The sequence below is a fragment of the Homo sapiens genome, chromosome 13 (genome assembly GCF_000001405.40).
Source record: "Homo sapiens chromosome 13, GRCh38.p14 Primary Assembly".
Taxonomy (NCBI): Eukaryota; Metazoa; Chordata; class Mammalia; order Primates; family Hominidae; genus Homo; species Homo sapiens.
In genome coordinates, this window is record NC_000013.11 from 23,667,840 (window position 1) to 23,686,554 (window position 18,715).

The 18,715-nt window shown below is 42.2% G+C and overlaps 1 protein-coding gene across 10 annotated transcripts in view; it reads left to right on the forward strand.

Moving 5' to 3' along the window:
* The window catches only part of TNFRSF19 (TNF receptor superfamily member 19), a 105,682-nt gene extending 97,428 nt beyond the window's left edge, over positions 1 to 8,254 (forward strand). For 5 of the 10 annotated variants that reach the window (XM_047430440.1, NM_148957.4, NM_001204459.2 and 2 more), the window contains 3 exons: positions 141 to 243; positions 853 to 1,258; positions 5,533 to 8,254. In XM_047430440.1, the coding sequence (XP_047286396.1) occupies positions 141 to 243; positions 853 to 1,258; positions 5,533 to 5,541 (518 nt within the window). In that variant the 3' untranslated portion in view covers positions 5,542 to 8,254. Of the gene's footprint in view, positions 1 to 140; positions 244 to 852; positions 1,433 to 5,532 lie in introns of those variants that run through there. The other 5 variants (XM_047430442.1, XM_005266446.3, XM_047430443.1 and 2 more) reach the window with 2 other exon arrangements.
* Positions 8,255 to 18,715: the final 10,461 nt, after the last annotated feature.

Genomic DNA, 18,715 nt, shown 5'->3' on the forward strand with positions numbered 1-18,715 from the left:
AAGAGAACCTTGTATTCCTTTTCCCCCAAAAGTCACCCAAAGGGAAACATCTAAATTTCCGAGAGCAGTGTTGAAGTGTTATTAAAGTGAAAGCTGCCAGAAGGAGGCACTGTGCTTCACACCTGTGCTGTCTTCCCTAGGGCCGGTGCGCTTGCTCCCATCCATGTGCTGTGAGGAGGCCTGCAGCCCCAACCCGGCGACTCTTGGTTGTGGGGTGCATTCTGCAGCCAGTCTTCAGGCAAGGTAACTAGGTGCTTTCAATCAATCATTTCATAACCCCCTGTGCAAATATGCATTCTACTAATTTACCGATTTTCATCTGAAATGATGGAAACATCACCTCTTAAATATTAATGACATTCTGGATATTGGTGGGGTGCAGTTCTCAGGGAAGAATTAGGTAGCTCTCTCAAGGTCACTCATATCCAGTGCAACATTCTTTACACTTTACTCTTCATTAATTTTATTTTTGTCTTATGTCTGTGATTTTTGACACCTCTGTCATCTGTAAGTAATTAACATGTAAGTAATTTTTACCCATGGAATAATATTTTAGAATTTTAGAACAGCACTCAAGAAACTCAGATGAGACCCAGGAAACTGCATGTTTTAGACATTGGATTAAGTATAACTATATTAATTAGAAGGAGGTGTCAAAACTCAGTTTTCAAATAAATGGAGTAATTTGACTTATTGTATTGAGATGAGTTTATAACAATAGGAAACACTAGAATTCTGATGCAGTAAATTGCTATTTCATTTAGAAGACCTAAAATTACGGCTGACATGCTTCTTTGTAGTAGTGTTTTTCTCCCCATCAAAAACTTTAAGTTCTTTTGAACGTGTGTGCAGAAACGCAGGCCCAGCCGGGGAGATGGTGCCGACTTTCTTCGGATCCCTCACGCAGTCCATCTGTGGCGAGTTTTCAGATGCCTGGCCTCTGATGCAGAATCCCATGGGTGGTGACAACATCTCTTTTTGTGACTCTTATCCTGAACTCACTGGAGAAGACATTCATTCTCTCAATCCAGAACTTGAAAGCTCAACGTCTTTGGATTCAAATAGCAGTCAAGATTTGGTTGGTGGGGCTGTTCCAGTCCAGTCTCATTCTGAAAACTTTACAGCAGCTACTGATTTATCTAGATATAACAACACACTGGTAGAATCAGCATCAACTCAGGATGCACTAACTATGAGAAGCCAGCTAGATCAGGAGAGTGGTGCTGTCATCCACCCAGCCACTCAGACGTCCCTCCAGGTAAGGCAGCGACTGGGTTCCCTGTGAACACAGCACTGACTTACAGTAGATCAGAACTCTGTTCCCAGCATAAGATTTGGGGGAACCTGATGAGTTTTTTTTTTGCATCTTTAATAATTTCTTGTATGTTGTAGAGTATGTTTTAAAATAAATTTCAAGTATTTTTTTAAAAAACTAACACAGCTAATATATAAGAGCAAAGTGGACAGCTGCATTCTTTTATTCCTCTTTGTAAGTACAACCACTTAGCACAGCACCTGCTGCCTCCTTCCCTGGTTGAGAGAGGTGAGTCGGGTATGGGAGCATCTTGCAGACAATTCCTGACCTTCATTTCTTCCTGTTATATATACTTATTATTATATATATATTACTTATGCCCAATACTTAAATCTACTTCATTCACTGCCAAGTTTATGTGAATTTTGGTCTCCTAAAGCTGCTCTTTTCCCTCCTCTCTCCTTGGCTGTTGTTTTCTGGATCACTCTGCTTTACCGGATTGATTGATTTGGCTGGAAATTGATTGTTGGTTGTGACCTGAGACCAGGTCATAAGACCCTCTCAGGTGGAATGGTTTAAGATCAGGTTTGGGTGGAGCGAGGGTGGCACCTGCAGAGAGATGGGGGCTTTCTGCGTGCTGCAAAGCTGGAGGCAGCAAAGGATTCAGGGATAACTGGGCACGTCTCTGCTTTCTTCAGGTGAGGATGTGGCCTTTGCTGAATTTGACCTAATGTTTGTAAACATTTCCTTAAATGGGAGTGCATGTATTGTTAGTGTTAAGTTCTAGGAGAAAAGTGTCAAGCCTTGAGTGTAAAAGGGCAGAGTCACAGCAACAGTCCAGCTCCCAGGCCCACAAGACTCTGCCCCACAAAGAGGTTGCTGCTCTCACTGCCTGTCCCTCCCTGCCCCAGATCAGGGTTGTGGGTGCTGAGGAGGCAGCTGAGCCTGCTCCAGAGGGGCCTCACTTCCATGTCATTCTGTATCCTGGCCTGATTATATCAGAGACTTAGTGCAGAGTCAAAGTGTGAACGCTGATATGTTCCTTTTAAGATCAGTTCATAAGTTACATACTGATCTAAGTCTGCAGTACTTGTTTTTGTTTTTGGTTTTTGGGTTTTGAAACGGGGTCTCTCTCTGTCGCCCAGGCCAGAGCTCAGTGGAGCAATCACAGCTCACTGCAGCCTCGTCCTCCTGGGCTCAAGCCATCTTCCCACCTTGTTTGCTTTTTTAAAGTACAAAAAAAAATTATCTGGAGAACTTTTAGGGGATTCTATAGACAAAACATTTTTTAGCTTTGGAGGGAAAAAATTGGTTTCATTCTCAAAACGGGGGAATGGAGAAGTAAGAGAAGGGAGACGAGTGAATGAAGGAAAAACAAATTAGGCAGTTAACACATACAAAGTATCTACCTCTGAGCTCTGCCTGGAGTTAGGAAAGGCTGTTCACTGATCTTGTTCTTTTGAGCCATCCATAATTTGTAAAATTGTTATGATAATAAATAAGAAAAGACTTAAGAATTAACCTAGCTGAGTGTAAGTCTCAAGAATGGACTGTGCCCCACACAACGTAGGAACTGAGAGGCCCCAGCAGCCGAGAGCAGGTAACAAGTCCTTCAAAGCAGAGAGCGTCCACTGACGGATCAGAGGATGCTAGAAACAGGCGGAACCCCCCTGCTCAGCAACAGAGGGCTCAGCTGCCTCCCAGCAGCACTAAATGAGGGGCCCTCGCCATGTCTAGTGCATCATCCGTGCCTCTCTTGTTAGGAGATCATCTGAAGAACTAGGGTTACGGTGCTGCCAGCTGACTAATGACTGTTTTTCAGTTTTGTCAGGAAACAGAATTACCACTCACCTTAATTTTGTAGCTTGTACCCAAGTTTGTGATGTCAATTGCCAAGACTAAGGAATGAAACGTCTTCATACGAGGTCATCCCGGAGCCAACTCATTGCCTGCTTTTTTTCTGTGTATGTTGGTGGTGTGGCGGGGACAGGATTGATAAGCACTGTCATCACAGCTGTATGAACATGATATTTTAGAAACATGTTTTAGTTGATGAGATTGGCATATCATGACTTACTAACTCTTTTTCAAAGACATGCAAGGTAGTTCTCATGATTTATATACACTTTCAACTCAAATCATTATGAAAAGAAAGTTACAATTATATCTAAACTGAACCTGATGAGAAAATATTACACTCAAGTTGCACAGTATAATAATTTATTAATGAAAGGTTTTTACTAACTTTTCAAGATGTGTAGCCCTATAATTGTTAGATTAATTTAGGTAAATCTAAGTATGACATTGAATTTAAAAAAGGAAGCGTTAAAATATAAACCATTTTGATTTTTCCCCTATAATAGTGAATAATATTTTGAGCCCATTTTACGAGATAATCATTTCCAGATGCTGGAAAAAAAAAAAACTTTAGTTGCACTTACTAATCTGTGAAATGTAGCAAATGAACCTTAAGCTACTTCAGGCCTTTGGGGGCCTGGTCCTCCTCTTTATTTCAAGGTCCAACCAAGTGTTTAACTCAAGTAGTTTTGCTTCTGTTTTTCTTTCCCAATCTAAATTCCAACCCACATTTCCCCCAACAGGCTAATTTTCCAACTAGAGGACACATTCACATCTCATAAAGAATTTGATTTTAGGCTGAGGCAGGAAGATGACTTGAGCCCAGGAGTTTGAGGCTTGAGGCTGCAGTGAGCTAGGATCACGCCGCTGCACTCCAGCCTGGGCAACAAAGCAAGACCCTGTCTCTTAAAAAATAAAATAAAATAATTTGATTTCAGCAGCTCACTATTATGAACCAAAGCACAGGGCTTCTTGTTAATTTTATCCATTCCACAGGTTTGTGTTCAATTAGCTTGGCTCCATGATGTGGGCTCGTTCATAGCTCAGGAAAACAACATGTGTCCATCTGGGAGGTGGAAAAGGAGCAGCTGTGGCCAAACAGCACTTCTGTCTTTACGTGGTGTAAGGCCATGATTTCAGCGCATGATGCATTTGTTTACACAACCTGCATTTCCACACACTAGTTTTCTTGTGGGTGATTTAAGATGACCCATAATCTGATGATAGTTATGGTTCCAGATAAAGCAAATAGGTGTGAGAGCCTTCTTTAGTTTGTATGACTCAATTTTAATCAAGTTTTTCCTATACACATCTCTCCAGAAGGGAACAAAACTGAGATATTTGGAACATTTTTTGCTGAGATATTTGAGAGAACAAAGCCAGCCTGTTTACCTACAGGAAAAGCATATCTTGAAGTTGTTTTTAATGCAACATTTAAAATGTCAACAGGAACAGACAGAAAGAAGGTTAGAAAACATATGAGAGGACCCTGGGTTCTAGTGTTTCAATCTATTGAAATGTCTACTTTTTCCTTATTGGCAAAATGAGGATAATTTGCCTCCCACAGAAGGGTTCATGTAGTTATTATAATCATGTCAGTTAATCAACATATTTGATAAAACTATCTCCTGTTATTGGAAGTGTTTCATAAGATTTTACTTCTAAATAATCTCCTTAGACCTAGGAATAATTTTTTTGCATACACTTAACCTGGTATGTCACCAATGCCAAATTAGTGGTAAGTTAGTGAAGGGTTAATACATGAAATTAATGTTCAGTGGTTTCACTTGTCCCCTTCCCGGCATTGACGTCAGTGCCCTTTGTGATGAGGACACGTCTAATGGCTACACTTTGCTGAGGATATTCTCCCGATAAGGACTGTGAGTATGCTAGGGAGATTGTTATAAGAGAAATCTTATTCCCAACTATTTCTGAACATTCTCTAATAGTTTAATGGAAGTACATTCAAAGACTAAGTTGGCAGATAAAGAATGGTACTATTCATTCATCTTTGTTCTTTGAAAGAAAGGAAATACAGAATCCTAAAATATTTACCTACAAATGCTTTAAAGGAACACAGTATAGAAGAAAGAAGCTTTAAATGTTTGAATAAGGTTGAAAGCCCACAAAAGAATTGTTGTTAATACATTATGATTGCTATGGGTTACGGTATCATCTTTTAAGTACTCTGCAGTTATTGGGTGACTACGAATTGTTATGAAAATATTTATTTTATCCTGAGATTACATGGGTAGCTGGATATTTGGATACTATTGAATGAGTTTCTTGTCCATATGCTATTATTATATCCATGTATACTACTAGTAAAAGTTATGCATAATAATTCTTTACCATTGAAATTTAGCAGATTTAACTTGTAAGACATTATTTCTAAAGCTTCCTTTCTGTTGCTGTTTTAGGAAGCTTAAAGAACCTGCTTCTTTCTGCAGTAGAAGCGTGTGCTGGAACCCAAAGAGTACTCCTTTGTTAGGCTTATGGACTGAGCAGTCTGGACCTTGCATGGCTTCTGGGGCAAAAATAAATCTGAACCAAACTGACGGCATTTGAAGCCTTTCAGCCAGTTGCTTCTGAGCCAGACCAGCTGTAAGCTGAAACCTCAATGAATAACAAGAAAAGACTCCAGGCCGACTCATGATACTCTGCATCTTTCCTACATGAGAAGCTTCTCTGCCACAAAAGTGACTTCAAAGACGGATGGGTTGAGCTGGCAGCCTATGAGATTGTGGACATATAACAAGAAACAGAAATGCCCTCATGCTTATTTTCATGGTGATTGTGGTTTTACAAGACTGAAGACCCAGAGTATACTTTTTCTTTCCAGAAATAATTTCATACCGCCTATGAAATATCAGATAAATTACCTTAGCTTTTATGTAGAATGGGTTCAAAAGTGAGTGTTTCTATTTGAGAAGGACACTTTTTCATCATCTAAACTGATTCGCATAGGTGGTTAGAATGGCCCTCATATTGCCTGCCTAAATCTTGGGTTTATTAGATGAAGTTTACTGAATCAGAGGAATCAGACAGAGGAGGATAGCTCTTTCCAGAATCCACACTTCTGACCTCAGCCTCGGTCTCATGAACACCCGCTGATCTCAGGAGAACACCTGGGCTAGGGAATGTGGTCGAGAAAGGGCAGCCCATTGCCCAGAATTAACACATATTGTAGAGACTTGTATGCAAAGGTTGGCATATTTATATGAAAATTAGTTGCTATAGAAACATTTGTTGCATCTGTCCCTCTGCCTGAGCTTAGAAGGTTATAGAAAAAGGGTATTTATAAACATAAATGACCTTTTACTTGCATTGTATCTTATACTAAAGGCTTTAGAAATTACAACATATCAGGTTCCCCTACTACTGAAGTAGCCTTCCGTGAGAACACACCACATGTTAGGACTAGAAGAAAATGCACAATTTGTAGGGGTTTGGATGAAGCAGCTGTAACTGCCCTAGTGTAGTTTGACCAGGACATTGTCGTGCTCCTTCCAATTGTGTAAGATTAGTTAGCACATCATCTCCTACTTTAGCCATCCGGTGTTGGATTTAAGAGGACGGTGCTTCTTTCTATTAAAGTGCTCCATCCCCTACCATCTACACATTAGCATTGTCTCTAGAGCTAAGACAGAAATTAACCCCGTTCAGTCACAAAGCAGGGAATGGTTCATTTACTCTTAATCTTTATGCCCTGGAGAAGACCTACTTGAACAGGGCATATTTTTTAGACTTCTGAACATCAGTATGTTCGAGGGTACTATGATATTTTGGTTTGGAATTGCCCTGCCCAAGTCACTGTCTTTTAACTTTTAAACTGAATATTAAAATGTATCTGTCTTTCCTAGTATGTTTTTATCTTCTCATGTATTATCCATGGTTTTCTCTGTTTGTGACAGATTAGTAAAATTTAATGAGCCCTCTTTCTTGTGGCCGTTTCTCCATAGTTTTAGGTTTTGATATGTGTTTACTAGCTTGCCTGTGTCTGGTACATCTCATGACCTCAATTCCCTCACCTGAAATAGGAAATGAGAATGTTTCATTGTAGCCCCAAGCGGTCATGTCAACCTAGTGCCTAGTCATAATTAATTGACTTTTCCTGTATTACTTCTTTTTTTAAGTATAAACCAATGATCCTTTGGTAGTCAAGAACTCTTAGGAACATTGCCTTTTGGACATGTAAAATATTTAGGATTTGACCACACAATGGCTATGAAAATGCAAGTAGTTTCCTCGCGTGACCTCACCATGATTCACATACGTGCCACTGTTTGAAATCTGGTCTGTTTGCATTTCTGTTATGACAGAGAGATGATGTTTGCATTTCTGTTATGACAGAGAGATGATGAAAGTAGGCAGGGCTGTGTTCCTTTGTGTAGCCTGTATATATTTTCCATATGTAGAGCCCTGATTAACTTCAAGGACAAACACTGGCTGGAGAAAGCCAGACTGATGGGAATGAGACTTTGGCCAAAAATCCCAAAACATCATTTTCAATCAGTAGAGAAGTGCTTAGGGTTGAAAATTGATTTCATTTGCTACTGAATTTGGTAAATCCTGGGTAACTTTTATCAAGATGAAGACATTTTACCCTACCTACTCTAGAAATATACAACAATGTTATATTTTACACTCCTTGGAAACATTTGAGGAAAAAAATGCAATTTGCACTTCACTTTGTTGGAATATCCCATAGCACTCAATAAACTCAGCTGCTAGAGTGCCGATGTCAGGAGGGCTGTGTCGGGTAATGCGTGTGGCTGAATGGGCATAACCACTGTGGCTTCTTGTGCTGCAGAAGCTCGTTGACAAGACTGAGGAGGATTTCAAGAGCAACCAAGTAAAGTCATGAATTTTCTAATTTTGTGTATATGGAATATATTTTTAAATAGAGATTTTTCTACTTTAGATAATGTGTTAATATTGCTATTACCTAGGTTAAGCACTATTGTCTGTGCTAGTAAGAAAAAGAAAGGAAAACCATCATTGCTTTATAGTAGCTTATATCAATTTAGATTTCATCATTACTATTTTGCATACTGGAATTTATAAATGTGTAAATTATCATTTTCTTAGTTTTGTAATACCTTTTTTATTTGTGAATAAAATTATCACCTGGTATTCTTATTTATGTGTTCAGTGAGAGAATGACTGATTTTGTGGATGCAGACATGTTTTTTTCTTTTCAGAAGTCTGTGTGAGGGTTTTGCAGAGTTCTGCTCTCTCGGCACAGGCAGCGGCTCCTGCCTGTGGTCCCAGATACTAGGAGGCTGAGGCAGAAGGATCATGAGCCTAGGAGTTTGAGGCGTGCCTAGGAGTTTGAGGCCAGCCTGGACAACATAATGAGGCTGTGTCACTAAAAAATGTGCTCCAGAGAGGGATGGAACCCTCTCTGCCTCCTCAGGCTTTTGGAGGGCTATTTGTAATCCTCACTGGTGACCTGTGAGGGATAGCCTGGGAACAGAACCAGGCGCATTGGGCTAGTGGAAGGTGCTCTGCGGCCCCTGAGAAGCTTTGGCATCAAGGTCTTATCATGATCTCTTCATTTTTTCCCTTTTATGGCACAAAGAGGGAAGGAACTAAAGAGAAAGTTTTGTATCCTTGATGGAGCTCAGCCAGGTGTCCTCCTGCAGAGGAGGACTAAAGAGAGGAAGGTGGAGGCTTCCACAGATCAGCAATCCTTTTCTTCCCTCTACTCAGTAAAGCTTTTAAGGCTATTATTAGATTTTGAGAGAGGACTTTAAACTTTCTGGAAAAAAAAAACTTTAAAAAATGTTACAGTTACATCCTGCTTTCTCAGCAGGTGAGTTTCTGCTGTTGACACTGGATTCTCTGAGGGAAGGACATTGACTTCTTCCCCCTCTGACACCCCCACTCACACCCCAACCCCCCCAGAGCATGTGGACTTTCCTGGTGTCCATGGAGACTGGTTTAGCTTATAGGTACCATAAATCCATCAACTCTCTGACAAAAATAACTCAAAGCTAATAAGGTTCTCCCAGGAGGTCTGGACTATTTTATAGTAATGTGTCTGGAATTGGTGGGTTCTTGGTCTCACTGACTTCAAGAATGAAGCCACGGATCCTCGCGGTGAGTGTTACAGTTCTTAAGGATGGCGTGTCCAGAGTTTGTTCCTTCTGATGTTCGGACGTGTTCGGAGTTTCTTCCTTCTAGTGGGTTCATGGTCTCTCTGGCTTCAGGAGTGAAGCTGCTGACCTTCACGGTGTTACAGCTCTTAAGGCGGCACTCTGGAGTTGTTCGTTCCTCCTGTCTGGAGTTGTTCATTCCTCCCGGTGGGTTCGTGGTCTCACTGGCCTCAGGAGTGAAGCTGCAGACCTTCCCAGTGAGTGTTACACTCATAAAGGCAGTGCGAGCCCAAAGAGAGAGTAGCAGCAAGATTTATTGCAAAGAGCTAAAGAACAAAACTTCCACAGCATGGAAGGGGACCCGAGCAGGTTGCCACTGCTGGCTTGGGCAGCCTGCTTTTATTCCCTTATCTGGCCCCACCCACACCCTGCTGATTGGTCCATTTTACAGAGAGCTGATTGGTCCGTTTTGACTGGGTGCTGATTGTTGTCTTATTTGCAGTCCCCTAGCTAGACATAAAGATTCTCCAAGTCCCCACCAGATTAGCTAGACACAGGGTGCTGATTGGTGCATTTACAAACCTTGAATAGACACAGGGTGCTGATTGGTGTGTTTACAAACCATGAGCTAGACACAGAGTGCTGATTGGTGTATTTACAATCCCTTAGCTAGACATAAAGATTCTCCAAGTCCCCACCAGACTCAGGAGCCCAGCTGGCTTCACCTAATGGATCTCGCACGGGGGCTGCAGGCGCCAGTCCCACGCCATGCACCCGCACTCCTCAGCCCTTGGGCGGTGGATGGGACTGGGCGCCATGGAGCAGGGGGCGGGGCTCCTAGGGGAGGCTCCCGCAGCACAGGAGTCCACTTGTGGGGAGGCTTAGGTATGGTGGGCTGCAGGTCCTGAGCCCTGCCCCACGGGGAGGCAGCTGAGGCCCTGCGAGAATTCGAGCACAGCGCCGGCTGGGGTACCTGGCACACCCTCTGCAGCTGCTGGCCCTGGTGCAAAGCCCCTCACTGCTCAGGCCGGCGGGCCGGCTCCGAGTGTGTGGCCCACAAAGCCCACGCCCACCCAGAACGCGTACTGGCCCACAAGTGCTGGGCACAACCCCTGTTCCCGCCCACACCTCTCCCTCCACACCTCCCTGCAAGCAGAGGGAGCCGGCTCCGACCTCTGCCAGCCCAGAGAGGGGCTCCCATAGTACAGCAGCAGGCTGAAGGGCTCCTCAAGGGTGGCCAGACTTGGCGCAGAGGTTGAGGAGGCGCTGAGAGCGAGCAAGGGCTGCCAGCACACTGTCACCCCTCAGTAATAACAATGACATATTTTCATTATTACCACTATTATTAAGGTCTCTGCAACTGGGTACTTATTCTGAATGTGTCCCATTTTAAACTAAGAAGGTATTGTCTGATTTCTTTTTTTAAAATTTAATTTAATTAATTAATTTTTTTGAGACAGTCTTGCTCTGTCACCCAGACTGGAGTGCACCTCCCAGGTTCACACAATTCTCCTGCCTCAGCTTCCTGCATAGCTGGGATTACAGGCACATGCCACCACACCCGGCTAATTTTTGTGGGGTTTTTTTTTTTTTTTTTTTGTATAAACGGGGTTTCACCATGTTGGCCAGGCTAGTCTCAAACTCCTGACCTCAAATGATCCGCCCACTTCGGATTGCTGGAATCCCAAATTGCTGGAATTACATTTTTTAAAAACAAATTTGGCACCGACTAAGGTCTGTAAATAGAGCTTAAGTTTATCATTCAGTCTTGAAAGTGAACAGTGGTCTGAGAGGTTTCAAAATTGTCTATAATGTCAAACAAGTTTCAGTAAGTCCTGGTATGCAATTATAGGGATATAATTATGCTGAGTCAAGGCAGCAGTTCACACTAGCATTAGTTATGTCACACTTCAACCAACGGAGGGTTGAAAGGTTTCTACTCCAGAGAGTCAGCTGGCCAAGGGTAGGTCATGTCATGAATGGCCAGTGGCGTTTGAATTAGTGTGATCTATGGCTGCTTGAAATTCACCTCTCCAGAAGACTTGAATTTTTAAAAGTTATCAGCAAAACCACTTTCTCTAGAACCATGGGTGGTCTTCTGAAGCAGGTTTCATTTTTTGTTCTATAAAGAGAGAGGATTCTTTTTTCCATAATTTCTAATGGCATTAGCTATTCCTACTTAAGACTGAAATAGCTGTGTTCTGGTAGCTTTGTTTGGGGTGGAATTTAACTAGCAGAACTATGTAGAGGGATTTTCCTTACCTGGGTTGATTATTTACAGTAAATAGAAGATCTGCAGACCATTCTGCCAGCAATCTTTTAATAGCAGGTTAGGGAGGCAGGCTGCGCCACCGCAAGGCATGCTACCCCTCCACAGATCAGAGATGAATCATTTCCCTTGAAGTTCTAAACACAGGTCCAATTCCTCTCAGAAGACTCACTCTAGTAAGATGCATTTCCTGTGGCAGTCCTTAATGTATGCACTCAACATACATTTATATAGCATAGAGCATGTGCTTGGTTCTAACTACAGTGCCAGGGCCAGAGAAGATATGAAGAAATATAAGGAAAGCAAGCCTTTTAAGTGTTTATAAAGTAGACCTGGGCCAGCATGGTGGCTCACGCCTCTAATCCCAGCACCTTGCAAGGCTGATGCAAGAGGATTATGTGAGGACAAGAGTTTGGGATCAGCCTGGACAACAATCTGGGACTCCATCTCTACAAAAAAAGAAAAGAAAAAATTAGCCAGTGTGGTGGTGCATGCCTGTAGTCCTAGCTACTCAGGAGGACCAGGCAGGAGGATCCTTGAGCCCAGGAGTTTGAGGCTGCAGTGAGCTGTGTTAGAGCCATTGTACTCCAGCCTGGGCAGCAGAGCAAGAACCTGTCCCTAATAAAATAGCTCTTAATTGTAAAAATACAAGTGCAAATCCTTCTGGGGACAGTGAGGAGGGGGCACAGAAGCTGGGAGGGAAAGTCCTCTGCACTGGGCCATGAAGACTCATGTGGTATTCACCAGGCAAGTGGAGGGGTGGAAAATGCTAGAACTGCAGGTGGAAAGGCTCAGCCTGTGCTGGGAGTGGGAGAAGTGCAGGGAGGCTGGAGCACGAGGACACGGGTGAGGTGGCTCAGGGCAGATTTCTAGGCCAACAGGCATCCAATGGGCCCTGCCCTGGGGCTCGAGCTTCCCCCATGGGGGACCGACTTACCTCTATGTGAAGGGGTGACAGACATAAAAACCAAAATAGTCTTCCAGAAGCTTCGGAGTTCCAGAGGGAGGTGAGTGGACCTCTCTCCAGCAGCAGAAAATCCCCAATCACTGGGAGGGACCAGCCCCCTGCCAGAAGTGAAGATGGATAGTCTCTCTCCTGTTTGGAAATACTGAGCCTGAGCTCGTTCCGCAACATCTAGGTCATGTTGGTCTGGTCCTGATTTCCAGCAGGGCAGTGCTGAGCTTCAGGTGCAAGTTTAGGACTCAGCAGAACCACCTGCTGACATCAAACCAACGCTCCACTGGAGTCCTGAGAATACAAGGCTGAAAAGGCTAGTGCACTGCGCTCAAGCGGCCATGGCCTTCCTGTGCCTGTGGATTGCATCAAGCACCTTCGTGGCCTTTTTATCCTGGGCCTGGGATGCACTCTCATGGTCCTGCCCAGCCTGGAGCTCCAGGCAACCCTACCACCAGATCGGGGCCAGCCTTCAGGGCAATGAGTGTTGGCACATCCATTTGTAAATCTTAGCTTTGTGCATCCATTTCTAAATCTTAGCCAGTCGCCTTCACCTGAAAGCTAGCTAGCTCTAGCCTGATGGTGTCTGTCTGCACCCTACCCTTGTCGTGGAGATGCTGCTGCTTTTGTTCCCTGCCCTCACATGGCTGAGCAGCCTCCCCACGGGAAACTCATGGGGCCAGAAGGCTGGCCCCTGGCTTGGGGAGGACAGCAAAGCCCGTGCAGCCTGCCTGCAGCTGGTTCTGCATCATTGCCTTCTGTAGCTCAGGAGGAGTTACCCTTGCCCTCCTGTCTCCCAGACTACTCCGGCTGCTCCCCAGCATCCTGGCATTATTGAAGTGACAGAAAGCTTCTGGCTGCATCTGAGAGCTGTTTGGATATTTTAACCACACATAAATGCACTGAGAGGCAACTAGGTTAATAAATAGGCCTACTAGAGGCGAAGCCCAAGCATAAAATTGAGGGAGAAGCCACCCGGAAAATGCAAGAATCCCCAGATCCGATGATCAGATGTGAGAGAATGCACACTTGGTGCTCTCTAAAGGCCTAGAACTAAAAGGCAACAGCTCCCTCGTGACTGTAGTGTTGTGTGAAAGAAAAGTAGAATCCCAGGACCCAAACTCACTATGCTGAAGGGAAAGTTAAGCTTGGGAACTGAGTCACTGATAATGTTTTCCTAAACAGCTGTAATTTCACAACCTGGCTTCACAGCCTCATTCTCTCTGCTCCCTCTTTTCACAAGCTTGCTTTATCATCCGTAGAATGCAGATTTACTGTGCTCGAGGTAATGCATAGCTGACATTCTCCTCTACTCCATCTTTTCACATGTGAAATGTAGATTTACTAAAGCTAGACAGAGCTGCACAAGATGTAAGCATTGGTTTCACTGCCTCACCTCTTCCCTTTTCCCCCCTCCTGCTTGCTCTTTCCCCTTTAAATACTGAAGTTCACAAAGCCCCCTTTAGGAAAAGCAGAGGTCACAGATGCCCCTGTTGTCAGAGGTATGTGAACCAGAGCAAATCCATCTTAAATAGGAGCTGGGTAAAATGAGGCTGAGACCTACTGGGCTGCATTCCCAGATGGTTAAGCCATTCTAAGTCACAGGATGAGATAGGAGGTTGGCACAAGATATACAGGTCATAAAGACCTTGATGATAAAACGGTTGCTGTAAAGAAGCTGGCCAAAACCCACCAAAACCAAGATGGTGATGAGAGTGACCTCTGGTCATCCTCACTGCTACACTCCTATTAGCGCCATAACAGTTTACAAATGCCATGGCAAGATCAGGAGTTACCCTACATGGTCTAAAAGGAGAGGACATGAATAATCCACTCCTTGTTTAGCATATCTTTAAGACATAACCATGAACATAGGCAACCAGCAGCCCTCAGGGGTACTGTCTATGGAGTAGCCATTCTTTTATTCCTTTATTTTCCTAATACACTTGCGTTCACTTTATTCTACAGACTCACCCTGAATTCTTTCTTGCTCGAGATCCAAGAACTCTCTCTGGGGTCTGGATTGGTACCCCTTTCCTTGTAACATCTTTCTGGCTACCACAGAAGCAACTATAGTGCGGAACCCCCCACCGACCCAACAGCTAACTTTGGATAAGTGGTGGGGTCCAATAACATCCTTCTGATGAACCACGTAAGGGATGATACTGAGGAAACCCCCCCCATCCAAAGGAAATAGACTGCAGAACTGATTAGACAACTTTGGGTAAGTGGTGGGGTACTTGGGAAAAGAATGGAATTGGGTTAGAGGTCCAACTTAGGAGAGTTAGAGTCTCTCCTAAGACAGAGTGGGTTAGAGGCCTCTCTTAATAAAAGGCAAGGATGCTTGACCGACCTTGGATTAGAGCCAACTTAGGAGGGTTAGAGGCCCCATTCCATAAAACCCTTCTCAGTAAAATCCCTGTTGGCTAAGAATGGGTTTGGCACTATGGGATGTTAACCTCTATTCTCTTTGGATTAATCACCTTTCACTCTTTGCTGATGGCTATGGGTGAAAGGGTTAAGCATGTACAGTATCATGGGACATGGGGAGCTTTTTCCTCCCCAAAAAGGGGAAACTTGAGAGCTGATGGAACTCCTGTAAAAGATCCCTTTGCTATTGACAAGCAACCACTTGAACTTTTCAGGGTTGTTGCATGGGTGGGTCTTTCTCTGGCCTCACTGAGTGCCTCCCCTTCCCCACCCTGCCACAAGCAGTGCTTTTCTCCCTTGCCTTTCCTCTCTCTGTGCAAACTGGTTGAATGAATGGTAAAAATCACCGTTTATCTCCCATAAAGTTTTGATTAATGAGAAAAAGGATTTGTGAGGCTAGTCGTAAGCTGTAGCAAAATCGATGTGCTTCGTGGGTCTTTCTGTGTTGTTCTGTCATGGAGAGGTGTACCTTAGGATAGAACAAGGCTTAGGACACCTGTAAGCCTGCTTTTCAAGACAGCCCAGCAAACTGGTCAGTCATGTCCTTGGGAGCTTGACCTTGTAACCACGTGAATGGGCTTTCTCTTTTCCCAATGGCAGCCCAAGTTCAGAGTTCAATTCCTGGCTTAGGTAATAAGTCCTTTATCTTCTATGTATTTATATATGTTGTGTGTGTGATGTTTATATCTCAAAGAACTTTGATTAATTGGTTTAGTAATAATAAGAGCTTAAATAGAATATTTTGTGAGAAAAGTAAAAAATGTAATGCCTTTTATTTAGTTCATGTGACTTAATCTTTGGGAAATAAAGAGTTTTAAAGATTATTGGTAAAATAAAAATATCTTCAATAATGTAAACATTTGGTGTAAATTACGCAGGTCAGATATTAAGTTTACTAAATGCTTTAAGGTCATAAACTGTTTTTTTGGCTTTTGAAAACTGTTCAATTTACCTGCTTTGGAGCATTATATTCCAGTTAAGGCCTGGGGACATGTGGTGTTAGCCAGGCCCCCCAGCTATGCTGGAAAGAGTCAATCCTTATCTGCACTTCTGCCTGGTGTGTCCTGGGCTAGGCTCCACACCTAGTACATCATTAAAATCCCAAACTTACCAAAGTTTTCACCAAAAGAAAAAGTTGCTAAGAGTTAACAGTGTGACATGTATTTGAAACTACTGAAAAAACAGTTTTACATGTAAGTTGTGTAAGGAAAGTAGAATGTACTTTTAGCAAAAGATTATTAAGAAGTCATGGGAATGTGGATTTTCTTGCCTACATAAAAGGGTTAAAGAATTGTTTTAAGTTAGGATAAAGCTAAAGGTTTAAGCAAGTTGTGGAAGGTTTGTGAAAAATTAATCTTGTACAAGAAATTCTGTGTGTGAACATATTGGCTAAAATTAAAGGGGTACTATTTGTTTTTTTCCATAAATTGAACATTCGAATGAAAGCACAGCAGGTTTTTCTTAGAGCAAAATCCTGCTTATGAGCTGCTTTTTAACAAAAATTGTAAAATGTTATAAAAGGTTTATGATAATCTTACCTTATGGTCAAACAGTAAAACTGGGTAGATATGTCTATAAGGTTTTATTAAGAATGGGGTTTGACATCAATAATGCATTAATGCAACAGTGACATTTGGCTTATTTGGTTAAAAAAATCATACAAGCAGCATTGTCAAATATAAAATGGTGTTTGGCTTTCTTTGGGTTGTATTTGTATAAATATGTTACTGGTATGTGTCCAAAAATTATGAGAAACTCCTATGATTCTAATATGGCTTACCATATGTTATTAATAATTACAATCGTTACATAAAATCATTGTATGCCACAGAGGTAACCAAATTTCTTTGTCAATCATATTTTTGACCGCGGCTGTCCTAAGACATTTTGTCATCCACAAACAAGTGTTGTCTTGTTTTTTTCCTTTTTAGAAGGTGGTTTATAATCAACTACAGGGCTTTGACAGGTGTTCTTAAATGCAGGTTTCTGATAACTTTAAAAATTGCGACATTAGAGGAAACAATTTTCAGAACTCTCATGGAGAAGTGGAATGCTCATGAATATCAGAACAGGAGTTAACTGCGTAGACTGAACTAACAGAAGCTATTTACAGTTTTTAACAGTTCAGTAAAGTACACTCCTGTGAATAAAATTTGGAGTGTATTTGTTTCTCTCTACTTGATTTCTTCAGAGTTTGGAAACTATTTGTGAGTATTCTTAATTTATGGCAAATAGTTATTTGTGTAAGTGCAATAAGAATCTGTTTTCTTTTGTAACAGGATACAATTGGAAAAACTGGTTATTTTACCAATGCTTTGACTGGAATGGCATGCTTTCCTTTAAGGAATCAAACCTGACTTGTAAAGCCAATAAAAGCCACTTGGGGAAATGCCTTATACCTTGCCTATGCAGTCCCTGTGCAGGGTTTCTGACCTGTGGTAAGTAAAGAATGTCACTTTCTAACAGGTCCAGGAGCCCCAAGTTATCTTGGAACCTCAAGAGGAGAGGAATTCACCCAGCTCATAGGTATTTGAGGGTACAAACCGATGGCAGGGCTCAGCTCTAAAAAAAGTCTTATCTAAAACTCCTTCTGTGGAACAGAGTTCCATCAAAGCCAATTTAAAAAAAGCTTATGTGAAAAATAAGTATTCTTGCTGCACTTTACACAAATAGTCATGCAAAGTATAATAAAACAAATCAGTCTTACCGTGATTTGTTTTTAGTAAAAATAGGAAACTGGAGAGAGAAATATTATGTTTCAAGAACTACGGAACATCTGTTATTAGATTCTAATCTCATCAGTTGTTTTTAAAGTTTGTTTCTGCAATTTAGGCTAATCCTGTTTATTCCTATGAACCAACCAGTGAGCTCTGACTGCTGCTCAGAAGAAACAAGAGAGATGGGTAATGTAGAAATCTGGATCAGTATTCTAAATCTGGACATGTATTAGAATCAACTAGCAACCCCATATCAGCTTGATTCCAGCAGTTACTCAGTTCATGGAAAGCCTACTTATTTAGTTTACTTGAAATAACTTTACTTGTTTTGCTTTATTATTGTGAAATATCTTGCTGTTGTACTCTTTGTGTAGGAATGCAGAATAAGCTTATTAAATGTTGTCTTAAATTGAACACTTGTTAATCTTCCAGATAAAACTTTTTGTTGGAACTCAAAAAAGTTGAATGGCCCTCGCCATACTGACGCTTTCTGACTGAGCTCTACCCTGAATACAAGAGACCCTAATGGTTGGGCAGGAATAGCATCGCCACTTCTCAGCCTCAAGAAGTTACAGAAGATGGATCTTTATCTAGGATTAAGGGTTCTCTTATAAAGGGAGGGGGGGAAATGTCAGAGGCCTGTGAACCAGAGCAACTCCATCTTAAATAGGAACTGGGTAAAATGAGGCTGAGACCTACTGGGCTGCATTCCCAGATGGTTAAGACATTCTAAGTCACAGGATAAGAGAGGAGGTCAGCACAAAATACAGGTCATAAAGACCTTGTTGAGAAAACAGTTTGCAGTAAAGATGTTTGCTAAAACCCACCAAAACCAAGATGGTGACAAGAGTGATCTTTGGTCATTCTCACTGCTACACTCCTACTAGCGCCGTAACAGTTTAAAAATGCCATGACAACATCAGGAAGTTACCCTATATGGTCTAAAAGAGGGGGACATAAATAATCCATCCTTTGTTTAGCATATCATCAAGAAATAATTAAAAAAACGGGCAACTAGCAGCCCTTGGGATGCTCTGTCAATGGAGTAGCCATTCCTTTATTCCTGTATTTTCCTAATAAACTTGCTTTCACTGTACTCTACAGACTCACCCTGAATTCTTTCTTACACAA